Source organism: Homo sapiens, chromosome 2 (assembly GCF_000001405.40).
Source record: "Homo sapiens chromosome 2, GRCh38.p14 Primary Assembly".
Classification (NCBI taxonomy): domain Eukaryota; kingdom Metazoa; phylum Chordata; class Mammalia; order Primates; family Hominidae; genus Homo; species Homo sapiens.
In genome coordinates this window covers 182,734,825-182,752,887 of record NC_000002.12, presented here as the reverse complement: position 1 = coordinate 182,752,887, position 18,063 = coordinate 182,734,825, and the positions used below count along the sequence as shown (strand labels likewise).

The following is an 18,063-nucleotide window of genomic DNA, read 5'->3' as shown; positions in this document are numbered from 1 at the left end:
TCCACTATATACAATGTATATACTGGGTATTTGTCCTGTAAAGTTCTCCCATACTGGGAAGTGCAGATTTCATATCCATGGTGTCACTTAACATGCTCCCCTGTCATTCAATTTCCTAAAGACTAATAGATCTGGAGATAGATCTACTATAGGATTGATTTTTTTTTTTTTTTTGCCCAAAGTATTTTATACGTGATATTACGTACTTTCATTCTACGGTATATAATTTTTAGTTCTTCCTGCAACTGAGGAGTGAATATTTACCTGAGAAAATAATTTCATTTAAACAAAGATTTCAAAAGGCTTGTTCATTGTTTTAACTTCTTTCCAGCAAATATACTTAGAAGTATGAAGAAAGCCAAAGGAAAAAAATTATAAAATGTCAAAAATATTAAAGAAATATAACAATCTTCAATAATTGGAAAATCATATAAGCATTTTATGAAGTTAATGAAAATAGTTGCCTGAGTTTGATAAATAAGACCTTATTTACATTCAATGCATTGATTAGCTATGCATGGTTTAATCCAATCATATTTGATACCACTTTCTAAAAATATTATTTTGTTTAAATAATTTGTTACTACTCTAAATAGAAGATGTATTATTTCTAAGTTATTTTAATGTTTTAATAATAAACAGCCAAAAGGTCTTCATTTTATAAAATTAATTAGAATAATTTTTGATACTTTGCCTTACCATGTTACAGAGTCCCTCATGAACTGTACAATCTAGTGTACCAAACTTAAGCTGACCATAAAGAAGATTTGATGCTCTTCGTAACTCTGGTAGTAAAGCTCGACATGGTGGACACCACTAGGAAAGAAAAAATATTCATAAGCACCGAGCCAAATGACACAAAAAACCCCCCCATCATTTCTGCAACAAGTAATATGCTAAGTAAGACAAACTGTACTTAGCGGCAAACCTTCCCTGGAGGAGTAATTACATTAGCACTCATTTAAAAGCAATATGCATTAGTGGCCATAATGGAATGACACAGTTTTTGTACTAATGATTCAAAGTTATCTAGAAAATGTCTTTTTGCCATAACAGGAGAAGATCTGACAATGTTAGAATCTGACAGATAAAAATAACTTACGGGGGCAAAGAAATCAACAAGCCATGGTTCTTTGTCATTGGCAGGAAAATTTTGAGGTCCAAGCGTGGTAACATGAGAATTCACACTTTCTTTGGCAAAGGCAAGTATATCATATAGAATCTTCTTTCCTTTCAAAGTGAATGAGAGAAATTCAAATCCAAATTCTGCTTTTTGTATGCACAGAGACATTTCAAAGTTTTAATACTCAGAATACTAAAGAAGATAAATTATGAACAAATTGATTTTGGTGAGGTTTTAGTGTGCTGTATACTATACAGGGCTTAGCTCTGATAGGAGCACCCTTTTCTTGCACACTCTTCTGTTTCCTGGACTAGTTAAAAATGTCAAAATTGGCCAGGTGCAGTGGCTCACGCCTGTAATCCTAGCACTTTGAGAGGCCGAGGTGGGCAGATCACGAGGTCAAGAGATCGAGACCATCCTGGCCAACATGGTGAAACCCCCGTCTCTACTAAAAATACAAAAAATTAGCTGGGCATGGTGGCCACGTGTGTAGTCCCAGCTACTCAGGAGGCTGAGGCAGGAGAACTGCTTGAACCTGGGAGGTGGAGGTTGCAGTGAGCAGTGATCTCGACACTGCACTCCAGCCTGGTGAGAGTGAGACTCCATTTCAAAAAAAAAAAAAAAAAAAAAAAAAGTCAAAATCTCTTTGAAATGTTCCCTCATCTTCAGAGGTAGAATAATGACTTTTTTATAGGGTTCTTTAAATTAATTATGCTTACTTCAGTGATTACTATGGCCTAACTCCTAAATCATTTTCTACAACCTAGACTTCTCTTATGAATTCAAAACCCATATTACCAACTGCCCAGTGAAAAACTGTACTTGGATATCACGTAAACACGTCAAACACAATACAGTCCTGCATAATGACATTTCAGGCAATGGTGGACCACATATATGATGGGGTCCCATAAGATTATAATGGAGCTGAAAAATTCCTATGGCTCAGTGATGGTGTGGCTGTTGTAACTCTGTAGTGCAACACATTACCCCTTTTCTATGTTTAGATACATTTAGATACACAAACTCTTACCGCTGTGTTACAGTTGCTTATGGTATTCAGTACATTGTAACACATTGTACAGATGTAGCCTAAGAGCAATAGGCTATACTGTATAGCCTAGATGTGTAGTGGACTATACCATCTAGTTTTTTTTAAGTACACTCTCTGATGTTTGTACAAGGATGAAATCTCCTAATGACACATTTCTCAGAAGACGTCTCTGTCGTTGACACATGGCAATATATTCAAATTGAGGCTGTGTTATTTTCCTCCAAACCTGCTCCTTTTCTCACCAACCTTATCTTGGCAATAACATAATTATCCACTAGGTGCCTAAATATAATTCCCCAGAGTGAGCCTTGACTTCTTTCTCTGCCCTGTATCATAATAATTCTATCCATTCCATCTCTTACCATTTCCAACCCATTGCTACTGCCTGAACTCAGTCTGGCCTTCTGCAATAACCTAGCTAGTGTTTCTTCACCCAGTCTTCCTTAACTAATCCATTTTCTACATTGCTACCACAGTCCACTTACATTGAACGGTACAATCACTCAACTGCAATTTCGTCAAGTCAGAAACATAGGTATTATTCTTGACTCTCTCTCTCTCTCTTGACCTCCCACACATCTCATCAGTCACCAAGTAATACTGACTTTGCATTCTTGGTCTTTTACAAATCTACTTCTCTTCATCTCTGTTACTATCACAGAAGCTAGCTACCATATTGAGAGCAGCCCTACAAAGGCCCACATGATGAGGAACTGAGGCCTCTGCCAACAGCCAGTGAGGAACTTAGGCCTCCTGACAATCACAAAAGTAAGCTTGGAACCAGACCCTGTAGCCAGTCTAGACTTCAGATGACCACAGCCCTTGCATATTTTGAATGCAACCTCATGAGAAAATCCGTGTCTGGAACTACCCAGCTAAATTTTTCTCAGATTCCTGACCACGAAAAACTGTGAATTAATACATGTTTGTTTTAAACCACTGAGTTTTGGGGTAATTTACTACTAAGCAATAGACAATAAATACTCTCCACTGCAAACACTTTTAAAAACTTGTCCATAAAATCAAATTCACACATAACAATATTAACTTTAAATGTAAATGGACTAAATGCTCCAATTAAAAGACACAGACTGGCAAATTGGATAAAGAGTCAAGACCCATCAGTCTGCTGTATTCAGGAAACCCATCTCATGTGCAGAGACACACATAGGCTCAAAATAAAAGGATGGAGGAAGATCTACCAAGCAAATGGAAAACAAAAAAAGGCAGGGGTTGCAATCCTAGTCTCTGATAAAACAGACTTTAAACCAACAAAGATCAAAAGAGACAAAGAAGGCCATTACCTAATGGTAAAGGGATCAATTCAACAAGAAGAGCTAACTATCCTAAATATATATGCACCCAATACAGGAGCACCCAGATTCATAAAGCAAGTCCTGAGTGACCTACAAAGAGACTTAGACTCCCACACATTAATAATGGGAGACTTTAACACCCCACTGTCAACATTAGACAGATCAACGAGACAGAAAGTCAACAAGGATACCCAGGAATTAAACTCAGCTCTGCACCAAGCAGACCTAATAGACATCTACAGAACTCTCCACCCCAAATCAACAGAATATACATTTTTTTCAGCACTGCACCACACCTATTCCAAAATTGGCCACACCCTTGGAAGTAAAGCTCTCCTCAGCAAATGTAAAAGAATAGAAATTATAACAAACTATCTCTCAGACCACAGTGCAATCAAACTAGAACTCAGGATTAAGAATCTCACTCAAAACCGCTCAACTACATGGAAACTGAACAACCTGCTCCTGAATGACTACTGGGTACATAACAAAATGAAGGCAGAAATAAAGATGTTCTTTGAAACCAACGAGAACAAAGACACAACATACCACAATCTCTGGGACGCATTCAAAGCAGTGCGTAGAGGGAAATTTATAGCACTAAATGCCCACAAGAGAAAGCAGGAAAGATCCAAAATTGACACCCTAACATCACAATTAACAGAACTAGAAAAGCAAGAGCAAACACATTCAAAAGCTAGCAGAAAGAGGAGCTGGTTTTTTGAAAGGATCAACAAAACTGATAGACCGCTAGCAAGACTAATAAGGAAAAAAAGAGAGAAGAATCAAATAGATGCAATAAAAAATGATAAAGGGGATATCACCACCAATCCCACAGAAATACAAACTACCATCAGAGAATACTACAAACACCTCTACGCAAATAAACTAGAAAATCTAGAAGAAATGGATAAGTTCCTCGACTCATACACTATCCCAAGACTAAACCAGGAAGAAGTTGAATCTCTGAATAGACCAATAACAGGAGCTGAAATTGTGGCAATAATCAATAGCTTACCAAACAAAAAGAGTCCAGGACCAGATGGATTCACAGCCGAATTCTACCACAGGTACAAGGAGGAAGTGGTACCATTCCTTCTGAAACTATTCCAATCAATAGAAAAAGAGGGAATCCTCCCTAACTCATTTTATGAGGCCAGCATCATCCTGATACCAAAGCTGGGCAGAGACACAACCAAAAAAGAGAATTTTAGACCAATATCCTTGATGAACATTGATGCAAAAATCCTCAATAAAATACTGGCAAACTGAATCCAGCAGCACATCAAAAAGCTTATCCACCATGATCAAGTGGGCTTCATCCCTGGGATGCAAGGCTGGTTCAATATACGCAAATCAATAAATGTAATCCAGCATATAAACAGAACCAAAGACAAAAACCACATGATTATCTCAATAGATGCAGAAAAGGCCTTTGACAAAATTCAACAACCCTTCATGCTAAAAACTCTCCATAAATTAGGTATTGATGGGACATATCTCAAAATAATAAGAGCTATCTATGACAAACCCACAGCCAATATCATACTGAATGGGCAAAAACTGGAAGCATTCCCTTTGAAAACTGGCACAAGACAGGGATGCCCTCTCTCACCACTCCTATTCAACATAGTGTTGGAAGTTCTGGCCAGGGCAATTAGGCAGGAGAAGGAAATAAAGGGTATTCAATTAGGAAAAGAGGAAGTCAAATTGTCCCTGTTTGCAGACGACATGATTGTATATCTAGAAAACCACATTGTCTCAGCCCAAAATCTCCTTAAGCTGATAAACAACTTCAGCAAAGTCTCAGGATACAAAATCAATGTGCAAAAATCACAAGCATTCTTATACACCAACAACAGACAAACAGAGCCAAATCATGAGTGAACTCCCATTCACAATTGCTACAAAGAGAATAAAATACCTAGGAATCCAACTTACAAGGGATGTGAAGGACCTCTTCAAGGAGAACTACAAACCACTGCTCAAGGAAATAAAAGAGGATACAAACAAATGGAAGAACATTCCATGCTCATGGGTAGGAAGACTCAATATTGTGACAATGGCCATACTGCCCAAGGTAATTTACAGATTCAATGCCATCCCCATCAAGCTACCAATGCCTTTCTTCACAGAATTGGAAAAAACTACTTTAAAGTTCATATGGAACCAAAAAAGAGCCCGCATTGCCAAGTCAATCCTAAGCCAAAAGAACAAAGCTGGAGGCATCACACTACCTGACTTCAAACTATACTACAAGGCTACAGTAACCAAAACAGCATGGTACTGGTACCAAAACAGAGATATAGATCAATGGAACAGAACACAGCCCTCAGAAATAACGCCGCATATATACAACTATCTGATCTTTGACAAACCTGAGAAAAACAAGCAATGGGGAAAGGATTCCCTATTTAATAAATGGTGCTGGGAAAACTGGCTAGCCATATGTAGAAAGCTGAAACTGGATCCCTTCCTTACACCTTATACAAAAATTAATTCAAGATGGATTAAAGACTTAAACATTAGACCTAAAACCATAAAAACCCTAGAAGAAAACCTAGGCATTACCATTCAGGACACAGGCATGGGAAAGGACTTCATGTCTAAAACAACAAAAGCAATGGCAACAAAAGCCAAAATTGACAAATGGGATCTAATTAAACTAAAGAGCTTCTGCACAGCAAAAGAAAGTACCATCAGAGTGAACAGGCAACCTAAAGAATGGCAGAAAATTTTCGCAACCTACTCATCTGAGAAAGGGCTAATATGCAGAATCTACAATGAACTCACACAAATTTACAAGAAAAAAACAACCCCATCAAAAAGTGGGCGAAGGACATGAACAGACACTTCTCAAAAGAAGACATTTATGCAGCCAAAAAACAAATGAAAAAATGCTCACCATCACTGGCCATCAGAGAAATGCAAATCAAAATGACAATGAGATACCATCTCACACCAGTTTGAATGGCAATCATTAAAAAGTCAGAAAACAACAGGTGCTGGAGAGGATGTGGAGAAATAGGAACACTTTTACACTGTTGGTGGGACTGTAAACTAGTTCAACCATTGTAGAAGTCAGTCTAGATCCTCAGGGATCTAGAACTGGAAATACCATTTGACCCAGCCATCCCATTACTGGGTATATACCCAAAGGATTATAAATCATGCTGCTACAAAGACACATGCACACGTATGTTTATTGCGGCATTATTCACAATAGCAAAGACTTGGAACCAACCCAAATGTCCAACAATGATAGACTGGATTAAGAAAATGGGCACATATACACCATGGAATACTATGCAGCCATAAAAAAGGATGAGTTCATGTCCTTTGTAGGGACATGGATGAAACTGGAAATCATCATTCTCAGTAAACTATCGCAAAGACAAAAAACCAAACACTGCATGTTCTCACTCATAGGTGGGAATTGAACAATGAGAACACATGGACACAGGAAGGGAATATCACACTCTGGGTACTGTTGTGGGGTGGGGGGAGTGGGGAGACATAGCATGGGGAGATATACCTAATGCTCGATGACGAGTTAGTGGGTGCAGCGCACCAGCATGGCACATGTATACATATGTAATTAACCTGCACATTGTGCACATGTACCCTAAAACTTGAAGTATAATAATAATAAATTAAAAAAAAATTCAAATAAAAAAAAAACTTGTCCATAAAAAAAAAAAATAAAAATTTGTTAGTTTACTTGTCTGTTTTCCCTAATAGTCCACAATGTTCTTTGTATTAGAGATTACTAAGTATAGTTCACATTTTTTCCTATTCCTCAGTACTGTACCTGGTACATGCAGATGCTCAATAACTATTTTAATCCAAAGAAACAATGTAAGTTCTATTACAAAGTTAGTAAGAGCACATAAAAGGAAGTGCTTGGAGATTCATAATATATTTTCCAGGGAAGAAGCTGCTTTAAGTTTTGAAAGGCAATTTGGAGTTTGCTAAATATTCTGTGGAACAGGAAGGAGTGATTATAATGCAGGAGGAAAAATCGTGTGAAGGCACAGAGGAGTGAAAGAACATGGCATTCACAAACATCCAAAGGTAGCTGGAGCTAAGACTATCTGGAGGGGCAGCAGTGGGAATTAAGACTGGAAAAACTGGCAGAGCCAGACTGTGAACATACCCTATCCACTTAACAAACATTTCCTGAGTTCTTACTATGTGCCAGACACCATTCTAGGTGCTGGAGATAGAGCAGTGAGCAAAACAGATGAGATTATTGCTTCTATGCTAAGGAATCTGACGCTTATGCTATAAGAAATAAGGTAAGTCAAGGCAGAAAAGTGACACAAGAATGGGTAATAACTGCAAACACAACAAGGAATTGATTTTAAGGAAGAAAGGCTAGGAGATAAGCAATCCTCCCAGAGGATAATACTATCATAGATGAAGGCGATGATGGGCCTGAAACAAAGCAGTAAGCACAGAGAAGAGAAGAGGGGGGGTCTGAGAACTATTTCAGAGATAAAAAAGAGTATTATTCCATTATTAAAACTTAGTCATTTCTAGCACTTTTAGTGCATGGTATAGTTTAACGGCTATTAGCCTAGGTTTTGGAGTCAGACAAATTTGGATTCAAAATCTACCATGGCTAGTTTCTAGTATGTCTGTCATAGGGCAAGTTACTTAACCTTTCTGAGTCTCCATTTTCTCCTTCACTGGGCTGTTGTAAAGATAAAAATGAATCACGTATGCAAGGCTTCTGGCAGAATGTCTGACTTGGAGACAGCAGTGAATAAACAGTAGTTACTGTGAGGGTTATCTTACCCCAAAGTTCCTCCAGCCTAGAGGTCTCACTTCTTTTCCCCTATAGTTGCTTGGGGAAATTGAGCACTTTATGCTCAATTCAAATACCACTTCTTGACCTCTACTATGCAGAAATCTATTTGATCTTGTTGTCATTAATATACAATGACCATTAAAGTATTTTTTGTTTTCTTATGGATCTCCCTCCTCTGTTCCCCGCTACACTATTTTAAACTTCTTGAAGGAGTTCATGTCTTACAAATTTATATCCTCAACATTGAAAGCAGTGCTAGGTGCTAATGGGCATTTCATCGGTATCTGTTGTTCACTTAACTGCATGGTAGTTGGTAGTCTGTGTGTTTCTTTTGCTATATTTGACCTCTTTCAGGACAAGGACTCTGCTGTAGTCCAAACTCTTGGAATTGAGACTGCACTCACATGAATGCAGAGCTAAAGTCCCAAATAAGCTGAAATAAAATTATAAATGCAAGAAAGATAACAAGGCAGTTAATGAAGAAGTCTGGAAGTCTAGTGGGAGAAACATCCAAAAGAATGTTTGGAAATTGCCTATAATGGCTGAGATGATACACATGGCAAGCTGGAATATAAACTGCAGGTGTTGCTTACTTTTGCAAACAAGCAGGACTTAAATTTCTCACTAGCTTGACTTATCACCAGAAATCCTGATCAAAATACTGAATAGAGAAAAGGCATTCATGTTAAAAAGAAGGGTAAAGAGAATAAAGTGACTACATATAATTCAAAATATCTGTCCTCATATTTACTGAGAAAAGTTATTTACAATAAGCATGTCCGTAAAAAATAAGTTTAAAAAGCACAATTAGAAAACTTCTATTTGAAAATGAAGCTAAGTTTTTTTTTATCATTTTTTTCCATTCTTACCATGATGAATTTCATATTCTTTGGTTCCTTGTCCTTTAAATACTGCTAGAGACGGCTGAAAAACATACAGATTACTACAGATGTCTGGTGCAGAGGAACAGTCAAACCTGCCAACCTAAAGGAGAAAAAGGTCAAATTTGATAAAAACACTGTCTTACCCATTTGATTTGTAAATATTCATGATAATCCAAAAATGGCACTGCCCTAATGACACAGTTTTTAAACAGAAGCTAATAGGCTACGAAAATAAGAGACAGAAATAATTCATTTACATTTAATATTAAGACTCAATTTAGTTAAAAAAATGCTTCCTAGAGAGTTAAAAAAAACCTGAGGAATTCCCAAGAAAATATGAAGTTATTCCAGAAACCTACTTTTTGAAGATGTAGAGAATGTTTATATAATCTTGAGATAGAGGAGAGATCACTTTCAGAAGCAGAAATAATGAAGAAAAAAGTGATGTTTTCAAAGAGTGTGAAAAAGAAGAGCGTAAGCACAACAGCCAAATATAAACCAGGAACAAATCTGTGGCATTTAAGAGAGAAGATCCATTAAGAAACAAGAAGGGCCAGGCGCATTGGCTCATGCCTATAATCCCAGCACTTGGGGAGGCTGAGGTAGCTGAATTGCCTGAGGTCAGGAGTTTGAGATCAGCCTGACCAATAGGGTGAAACCACGTCTCTACTAAAAATACAAAAATTAGCCAGGCATGGTGGCTTGCACCTGTAGTCCCAGCTACTTGGGAGGCTGAGGCAGCAGAACTGCTTGAATCCAGGAGGCGGAGGTTGCAGTGAGCCGAGATCGCACCACTGCACTCCAGCCTGGCTGACAGAGTGACACTACACTGCATTAAAAAAAAAGAAAAAAAAACAAAGAAAAAGCTGGACAAACATCCCATCAGAAAAAAGAAAATGGGCCACAGATATAAAGAGAAAATTAACTAGAGAACAATTATGATTTGTTAATAATCATGAAAAAGTATTTTTCCCCGACCAGTTGAAAGCAATTAAATGAAAGTGAATATTGTTAACATATCACTTGTGGCCTATCGGAATTGTGAAGATTATAAAGAACGATAGTACCATGGTGGGCACAGCGTGGAGAAATGGCCACTCACGTGCTGTCAGTGAGATTATAAACTGATAAAACTTTCTGGAGGACTCTAGTAATGAGAATAAAAACCATTTAAGAAAACATAACCTTGAGTTGAAAATTTCCCATGTGGCCAGGTGTGGTGGCTCACGCCTGTAATCCCAGCACTTTGGGAGGCTGAGGTGGGTGGATCACCTGAGGTCAGGAGTTCGAGGCCAGCTTGGCCAATATGGAGAAATCCAGTCTCTGTTAAAAGTACAAAAATTAGCCGGACTTGGTGGCATGCGCCTGTAGTCCCAGCTACTCTGGAGGGAATCACTGGAACCCAGAATCACTTGAACCCATGAGGCTGAGGTTGCAGTGAGTCAAGAGCACGCCACTGAACTCCAGCCTGGGTGACAGAATGACTCTGTCTCAAAAGAAAAGAGAAGAAAATTTCCCATATTAAAGACAAGTTCTGCATCGTTTGATATAAAAAATAAAGGAAACAACATAAAATCAGTAAGAGAGGATTTCCTAAACAATTATGGCATAACCATATAGTAAGCCACTATGTAGCCTTTAGGGAATAAGGAGGATATACATGTGTACATGGATATAGAGATTTTATATCCATATAAATATATATGCATTTTTACAGGTCTGTGAAAAAGTTTATGATATTGTTGTATGACAGAAGTTAAAAAAAAAAGCATACAGTGAATCCATTTTGATTAAAACACAGACATATAAATTTACACGTGTATGTCTATTACAATGGCCATTACAATATGTATGCATGTGCACACATATACATATGCCTACATATGCATATGGGCACTCACAAAATGTTTAAATGGTTATATAGAGTAAATACATAGCAGGGTTATGAACAATGTTAAGAGTATGGGTGATTTTTTTAGATAATTGCTTTATTTTTGTACTTATTTATTGTCCTGATTTTTAAACAACGACCAAGAATTACTTATATAAAGAAATAAGAATTTAAAAAATGGAAAGATAACCTCCTACAGTATGCATTCCAGAAAAATTGTATGATACAGGTTTATCAAATGCCAAAATAAGTGAAAATTAACCACTTTCAGATTACATATAAACTTTTAATAAAAAAGAGGAAAAGCAAGCACAAACCAAGACTAAAAGCACTTATAGGCTTCTTATAATTTCAAATAAGAGTTTTTATGTTATTTAAAATTTAATTATATGCATTAAATTAACAACAAAGTACACCAGCAGAAGGCTAGGCAGAATACATTTTTCTTACTTGAATATGATCATTTTTAAGTAGAGTTTTTAGTTTTTTCAGCTCAGGATCATTTGAATTTTCATTTTTTCCAAAATGAAAAAATAACAGCCACCGATGATGAGCCAAACGATCCTTAAAAGTGATAAAGAAAACAAAATGTCAGAGATGGGAAATTCTAAGGGTTCTAATCTTCATTTCTATGACTTGAAGTTAGTTTTAGCTCCCCTACCCATTATTTCAAAATACTGTCTAAAATTCGGACCCACTCATTCTCTTATTTTGTAGTTTACTTAGAATAATGCTATGTAAAATCAACAAATATTACAGGAGGGTTAGTCACTAAATTATAAAATCTTAAAGTAGATGACTGCCAAAAACAAATACATGATTTTAACAGCATATAGCTAAAAAGTTGGGTGGCAAAGTTGTCAGCTTTTTCAGGCTTAGCACATAAGATCTCGTAGTGATACAGACTTCAAAAGATCTGTGGTTAGGAAGTATTTGGTTTTGTGCAAAAGTAACTGTGGTTTTTGCCACTACTTTCAAATGGCAAAAACTGCAATTACTTTTGCACCAACCTAATAGGAAAAAAAACTGATTCTACCACAAGCAATATTTCTCAGCATTCTATCCATAAACTGAATACTTCTTCTTAGTAATCAATATAATCCGTTCTGTAAGCAAGAACAAAAAGTTATGAATCAGACCCAAAGTTGCTCTGATTAAAATTCTGCCTTTTCTGATGTTCCTTTTGAAGCCCACCTTCAGGACTGAGTAGGTTTTCCAGAACTACAGATCCATCCTGAATTAGCAACACCAGATATCCAATTAGAATTTAACCTACAATTGACTAATATATAATCCTTTGAAACTGCTACTTTCAATTCTCTCTAGAGATGAATAAAACAAATGCTAATTTTAAAATGTTAAGACCTGAAATGTTACGAACATTCATTGCTACTTATCATTATTAATAAAAACATTACCTCTAGTGTGTTTGCCGAAAGTAGTTCAAAATCTGGAAGATTATGTATTACTTCCAAATATATTTCTTTAGCATCCAATGAGTTGAGAAACTAGAAAAAGAAAATCACATTGTAATCTTTTTGAATAAATATTCATTATATTTGATATCTTTTGTTTTTTCAATTTCCAATGTAGTATTTTTAGGAAAATGATTATAGAAGGTAAATAGTTTTTCAAACAATTCCAAATGTCTTTTTTCAAAAAAAGTGTATTTTGGCAATTATCAAAAATATTATATAACTAAGCTGTTTCTTAAATAGTGATATACAATAAATTCCATTATAAGATGTTGCATTAACTGGAATTTTTAATTAACTATGATGTGTATTCTATAAAAATGCTCAGAAAAATCCTGAGTGACCTCCCAATCATCAAGAAAAACCACATTATCTTTAGCTTAATTTTAATGCTAATCATGTTTTACAGAATGCCAATGTTTTACACATTCACTTAAGAATTTTTATAACACTAGAAGGAAGAATAATAGACTATCAAAGACACTTCATTCCCCAACCAATAATTAAGATTAATTAAGAGGAACTTAGAAGTGGAAAATTGGAATGGACTTTTGCTCATTATAGAGGTTTTCATCTAAAAACCAAACCACTTAGGAGTTTTTAGAGTAAAATACAATGATACAGATCTTATCTTAAACTTGTTTTCGGCCCGAGTCTCTTATTTAAAACACAAACGAGTATAAAAGGCCCTTCTAACAAATCTTCTTTATTTGTCAATATTTTATCCTCAGCATATTTTGTCATATAACTCTCTCTCTCTGCTGGTCTGATTCTCTCAATGAAGCAGCTGTTATTATAAAGAATGCAGCAATGGTTACATCAAGAAAATGTATATGAAAGTTGACAAAACAGAGTTTAATATATGTCTTTAATTATGAACCATCTATGTTTAACAGTTTAAGTATTACTTGAAAGATCTAAAATTCACTAAAAACTTGTACGAACAATCATGGAATCCACAGTTTAATCATGCTAGACATGAGAACAAACATATGGCTAAAAATAATAGGTACAACATAAGAATAAAAATTCAGGTTTTTTCCCTAAGATTCTTTTCTTAAAACTGAATATATATATATGAGATATATATATATATAAATATATATGAGATATTATATATATAAATATATATAAATATATATGATATATACTATATATATATATATATCATAAACATTCTTAGAGGTCTATATGAAATAGTTCCTGCTATCAAAGAGCTTAAAATGCCATAACAAATCTTTCACGCCTCAGTTCTACATCTTATTCACTTTAGTCCTATTCACTATGAAGACTTTTACTAAAATGCCTATTACACAGCCTATATAAACTTGCAGTGCTTAATCTACTAGAATCTCATTATAAACCTGTTTCTGTTAGAGGAGAATTTGTTAGTTACACCTATAAAGGACTGCTGTCTTATCTAGCCTCTGAATTCCACCTACCAGATATATTTAGCTGGCATACTGTTTTATATTTTTTAAAACCTGAATGCGGCCAGGTGCGGTGGCTCACGCCTGTAATCCCAACACTTTGGGAGGCCGAGGCCGGCAGATCACAAGGTCAGGAGATCGAGACCATCCTGGCTAACACGGTGAAACCCCGTCTCTACCAAAAATACAAAAAATTAGCTGGGTGTGGCGGCGTGCACCTGTAGTCCCAGCTACTCGGGAGGCTGAGGCAGGAGAATGGTGTGAACCCGGGAGGTGGAGCTTGCAGTGAGTGGAGATCGCACCACTGCACTCCAGCCTGGGCGACAGAACAAGACTCCGTCTCAAAAAAAAAAACCAAAAAAAACCTGACTGCTTTTGGGGAGGGACAAGTAATGTTTAATTCACCACTCCCTGTTATTACATTTCCAGAGTCACTCATTTCTGTTTCCTGTCTCAGACAGCCTTTGACCTTGTAATTTTCTATCATGAAGCCCAGAGATTATAATACTCAAGGCAAGAGGCTCTATTGTTGGACAGGGTGTAGGCAATCCTTGTTGACGGATGGCACAGAATAAACTAGTACAACTTTTCCGGAGGGCAATCTGGCAATACCAATTGAGTTTAAAATGGCCACAATGCTCCCATTCTAAACAGATAACTGAAAAAGTGCACAAGGATAAAGATACAAGATTGCTCATTACAACACTGCTTATCATCTTGAGAAAGTAGAAACACACACCAAGAAAGAACTGATTAAACTAAGTATGTCACATCTAGTCAGTGACTTACCATCCAGGGATCATTAATTACTTCAAGGATAATGTATACATATTCATTTATAAAATGATAAAGTATGCATATAAAATGTACATTTTTTAAATAAGAAAGCATCTTCCTGATACACTGAGTGAAAAAACTAGATTACAAAATAGAATCTACTATGCAATCCCATTTATGAAAAATTACGTATCTGTATCCATCCATCCATTTGATGTGTATAAACACATTTTAAAGATAAAGCCATAGATTTTCTTGATGAATTGGTTATAAGGTATGAGAAAAAGAGAAATCAAGAATAACTCCAGGGCATTTGGCTTGAATAATAAAGGACAGAGTTTTCATCAAATAATATGGGAAAAAACTGGATGAAGCAGATTTATGGAGGGATATTGGGAATATGGTTATAGGCATTTAAATTTGAGACACTGACTAATATCCTAAGGAAGATATTGAATGAGCAGTGATATGTAAGTATGTACACACACACATATACATACACAAGCACACACACACATCCACACATATACGTATAGGTGCATGTGTATAATACATCTGGAGTGGAGAACAGAGGTTTGAGTCACAGGTATAAACTAGAGAATTGCTGGCACAAAGTCGTAATTGCATATATATTTCAGTAGAGATCTGGATGGGTATTTACCAAGATTTGATGGTGGCTGTCTATTAGTGATTTGGTTTTAGGGAATTTTGCATCTTCTTTTACAGCTCTGTGCCATATATGAATTTCTGAAATGAGTATATGTTATCTTTATCAACATCTAAAAAAGCAGAATTAAAGTACAGAGGGAAAACTAAGGGAGATTTGTCTTATCACAGTCCTTACTTTCTTTTGGGATTCCGTAGTGACCCATCCAATATCCCACTATTTATCTTAGCTCCTTGACAACTAGATTGAGCTTCAGTTTCCTCACTCAAACTTAAGGAGGTATACCACATTACAAGATGTCAAAACTGAGTTTACACCAGAATCCCACGGGGTGCTTTAGAAAAATACTTAGGCCCCAGCCAAAACTACCACTGATCTATATTTTTAACATTAGAAAATAAACAATTAGGTTAGGTGCGGTGACTCACGCCTGTAATCCCAGCTCTCTGGGAGGCCGAGATGGGCGGATCATCTGAGGTCAGGAGTTCAAGACCAGCCTGGCCAACATGGCGAAACCCCGTCTCTACTAAAAGTACAAAAATTAGCCAGGCATGATGGCAGGCGCCTGTAATCCCAGGTACTCAGGAGGCTGAGGCAGAAGAATCACTTGAACCCAGGAGGCAGAGGTTGCACCGAGCCGAGATCACGCCACTGCACTACAGCCTGGGCGACAAGAGTGAGATTCCATCTCAAAAAAAACAAAATAAACAATTAAATAGAAAACAATGAAAACTCATGCTATAAATGCTCTTTCGTATAACCCAGGAATGTACTCCATACTTTTGGGGTTTAAAAATATAATGGTTTTAAATGTAAGGTAATTTTAAATGTAAAGATGTAATGACTTTAAATGAAATGTAATCGTCAGTTTAAAAATAATCCTTAAATTTTATAATTTGAAGCATGTATTAAAAAGAATCTCAGAAATTAAGTATGTGTTCTAAATAAGGGTTCCACAATCAGACAATATAAATTGTTCATTTCTTTGCTCACTGCTTACAAAAATAATGTATTATTTTTGAGGGTGTTTGCACATTATATGTAAATAAATTAGTTTAAAGTGATTCATACCAAAATACTGTTTTTCTCTTTGTTATTTAAAGTGGCTCCAGGAGGAAAATAAGCAGTAGTACTTGTTGTAATATCTAAGCTTTTACAAAGGTTATCCTGGGTGGCACAGTCCATCCATCCTACATTAACAAGACCATCCTAAAATGGAAAGAAACAACAAACCATGTTGTAAATGGGAGGCAAAAAGTTAAAGGGATTTAGAGCTTTACTTAGCTAAAAACACAATTTTTCTACCAAAAAATTAAAACTTCATGCCTTAGTTCTACAGCAAAGTTAAAAAGTAGATTTCTAATATTATAAATTACTTAATAAATTTAGAAATATTAAGTGCAAAAAATTGTACTTAGTAACTTGAGAAATGGTTTTTCCCTAATAGTAGAAATCTACTTTTTATAATTCTTTCTACGAATCCACAAAAAACGACATTTACAATTTTTATAGAAAGTGAGCTGTCCAATAGTCTTTCAGGTTAAAGAAAATAAACCAAACTACTGTTTAAGATTTTTCATTGTGGCTATCCTTTTAGTAATTATACAGTTTATGAGACATTCTCTGTATGTGTCTACAATGTGCATTTAAATTAGTATCTTCCCAGTTTTCATCTACAGTGGCTAAGCTAATCCTTTAGTGAGCTCCAAAAATCCTGTACGAAAAGTACATTTCTCATAACCTTAAGTTACTGAAAAAAATTTCTGCACTGGGCAAGTTAGTAAACAAATAGAGTTCTAACATACATTCAACTGGGATCTCGGAAAGATAAGGGAGAATGAGATAGAAACAAAAAGTGAAATACCAGCTGACAGGTTTCCACAACTGATGAAAGATATTAACCTACAGTGATCAAGAAGTCCAGTTAATCTCAATCAGAATAAATAAGAAACTCAAGACCTATGTATATCATAATGAAACTTCAGAAAATCACAAACAATTAAAAGCTAAGAAAGAATAGATCTTGATCTAGGTGGTGTTACATGGGAGCATATATATGTAAAAATTAAGTTGTACATTTAAGATGTATTCACTTTACTGCATTTAAGACAGAACTTAGAAAAAAACATATTTGATTAGAATACATAACAGCAAAGTTTCAGAGGTAGTAAAATAATTTCTGTTTAGTACTCTTGCGTTAGGTAGCAAATGAGTAAGTCAGGATACATGTACAAAATTTCTAGGGTACCCATTAAATGAACAATAAAAGGACAGGTAACCAAAGAGCTAGTAGAGATGGGAAATGAAATTTTAAAAATCACTTGCTTAATCCAAAAGAAGCAAAAAGGAAAGAAAAAAGGACTATAAAACAGGTAGGACAAATATAAAACTAACAAGATGGTAAGCATAGGGCCAAATATATCAAGAATAACATTAAATGTAAATGGACTAAGATAAAAAATAGCAACTAGATAAATACAAAACCTAATTACATGCTGATTGCAGGCAATAAATATAAGGATACAGTAAGGGTGACAGTAAAAAATGGAAAAATGCCAACATTAAACAAAAGAAAGCTGGTGTAGCTATATTAGTTATCAGTCAAGGTAGACTTGGAGGCAAAAGGCACGAAA

The 18,063-nt window shown here is 35.8% G+C and overlaps 1 protein-coding gene across 5 annotated transcripts in view; it reads right to left on the bottom strand.

Moving 5' to 3' along the window:
• The window catches only part of DNAJC10 (DnaJ heat shock protein family (Hsp40) member C10), a 78,208-nt gene that overhangs the window by 41,577 nt on the left and 18,568 nt on the right, over nucleotides 1-18,063 (bottom strand). For 2 of the 5 annotated variants that reach the window (NR_073366.2, NR_073365.2), the window contains exons 11-16: nucleotides 16,502-16,639; nucleotides 12,500-13,343; nucleotides 11,532-11,645; nucleotides 9,176-9,290; nucleotides 1,103-1,230; nucleotides 700-816 (exon numbers count right to left, since the gene is read on the bottom strand). Coding sequence is in view for 2 of the 5 variants with exons in the window: in NM_018981.4 (NP_061854.1) it covers nucleotides 700-816; nucleotides 1,103-1,230; nucleotides 9,176-9,290; nucleotides 11,532-11,645; nucleotides 12,500-12,589; nucleotides 16,502-16,639 (702 nt within the window). In the remaining 3 variants the exon portion in view is untranslated. Of the gene's footprint in view, nucleotides 1-264; nucleotides 340-699; nucleotides 817-1,102; nucleotides 1,231-9,175; nucleotides 9,291-11,531; nucleotides 11,646-12,499; nucleotides 13,344-16,501; nucleotides 16,640-18,063 lie in introns of all 5 variants that reach the window. The other 3 variants (NR_073367.2, NM_018981.4, NM_001271581.3) reach the window with 3 other exon arrangements.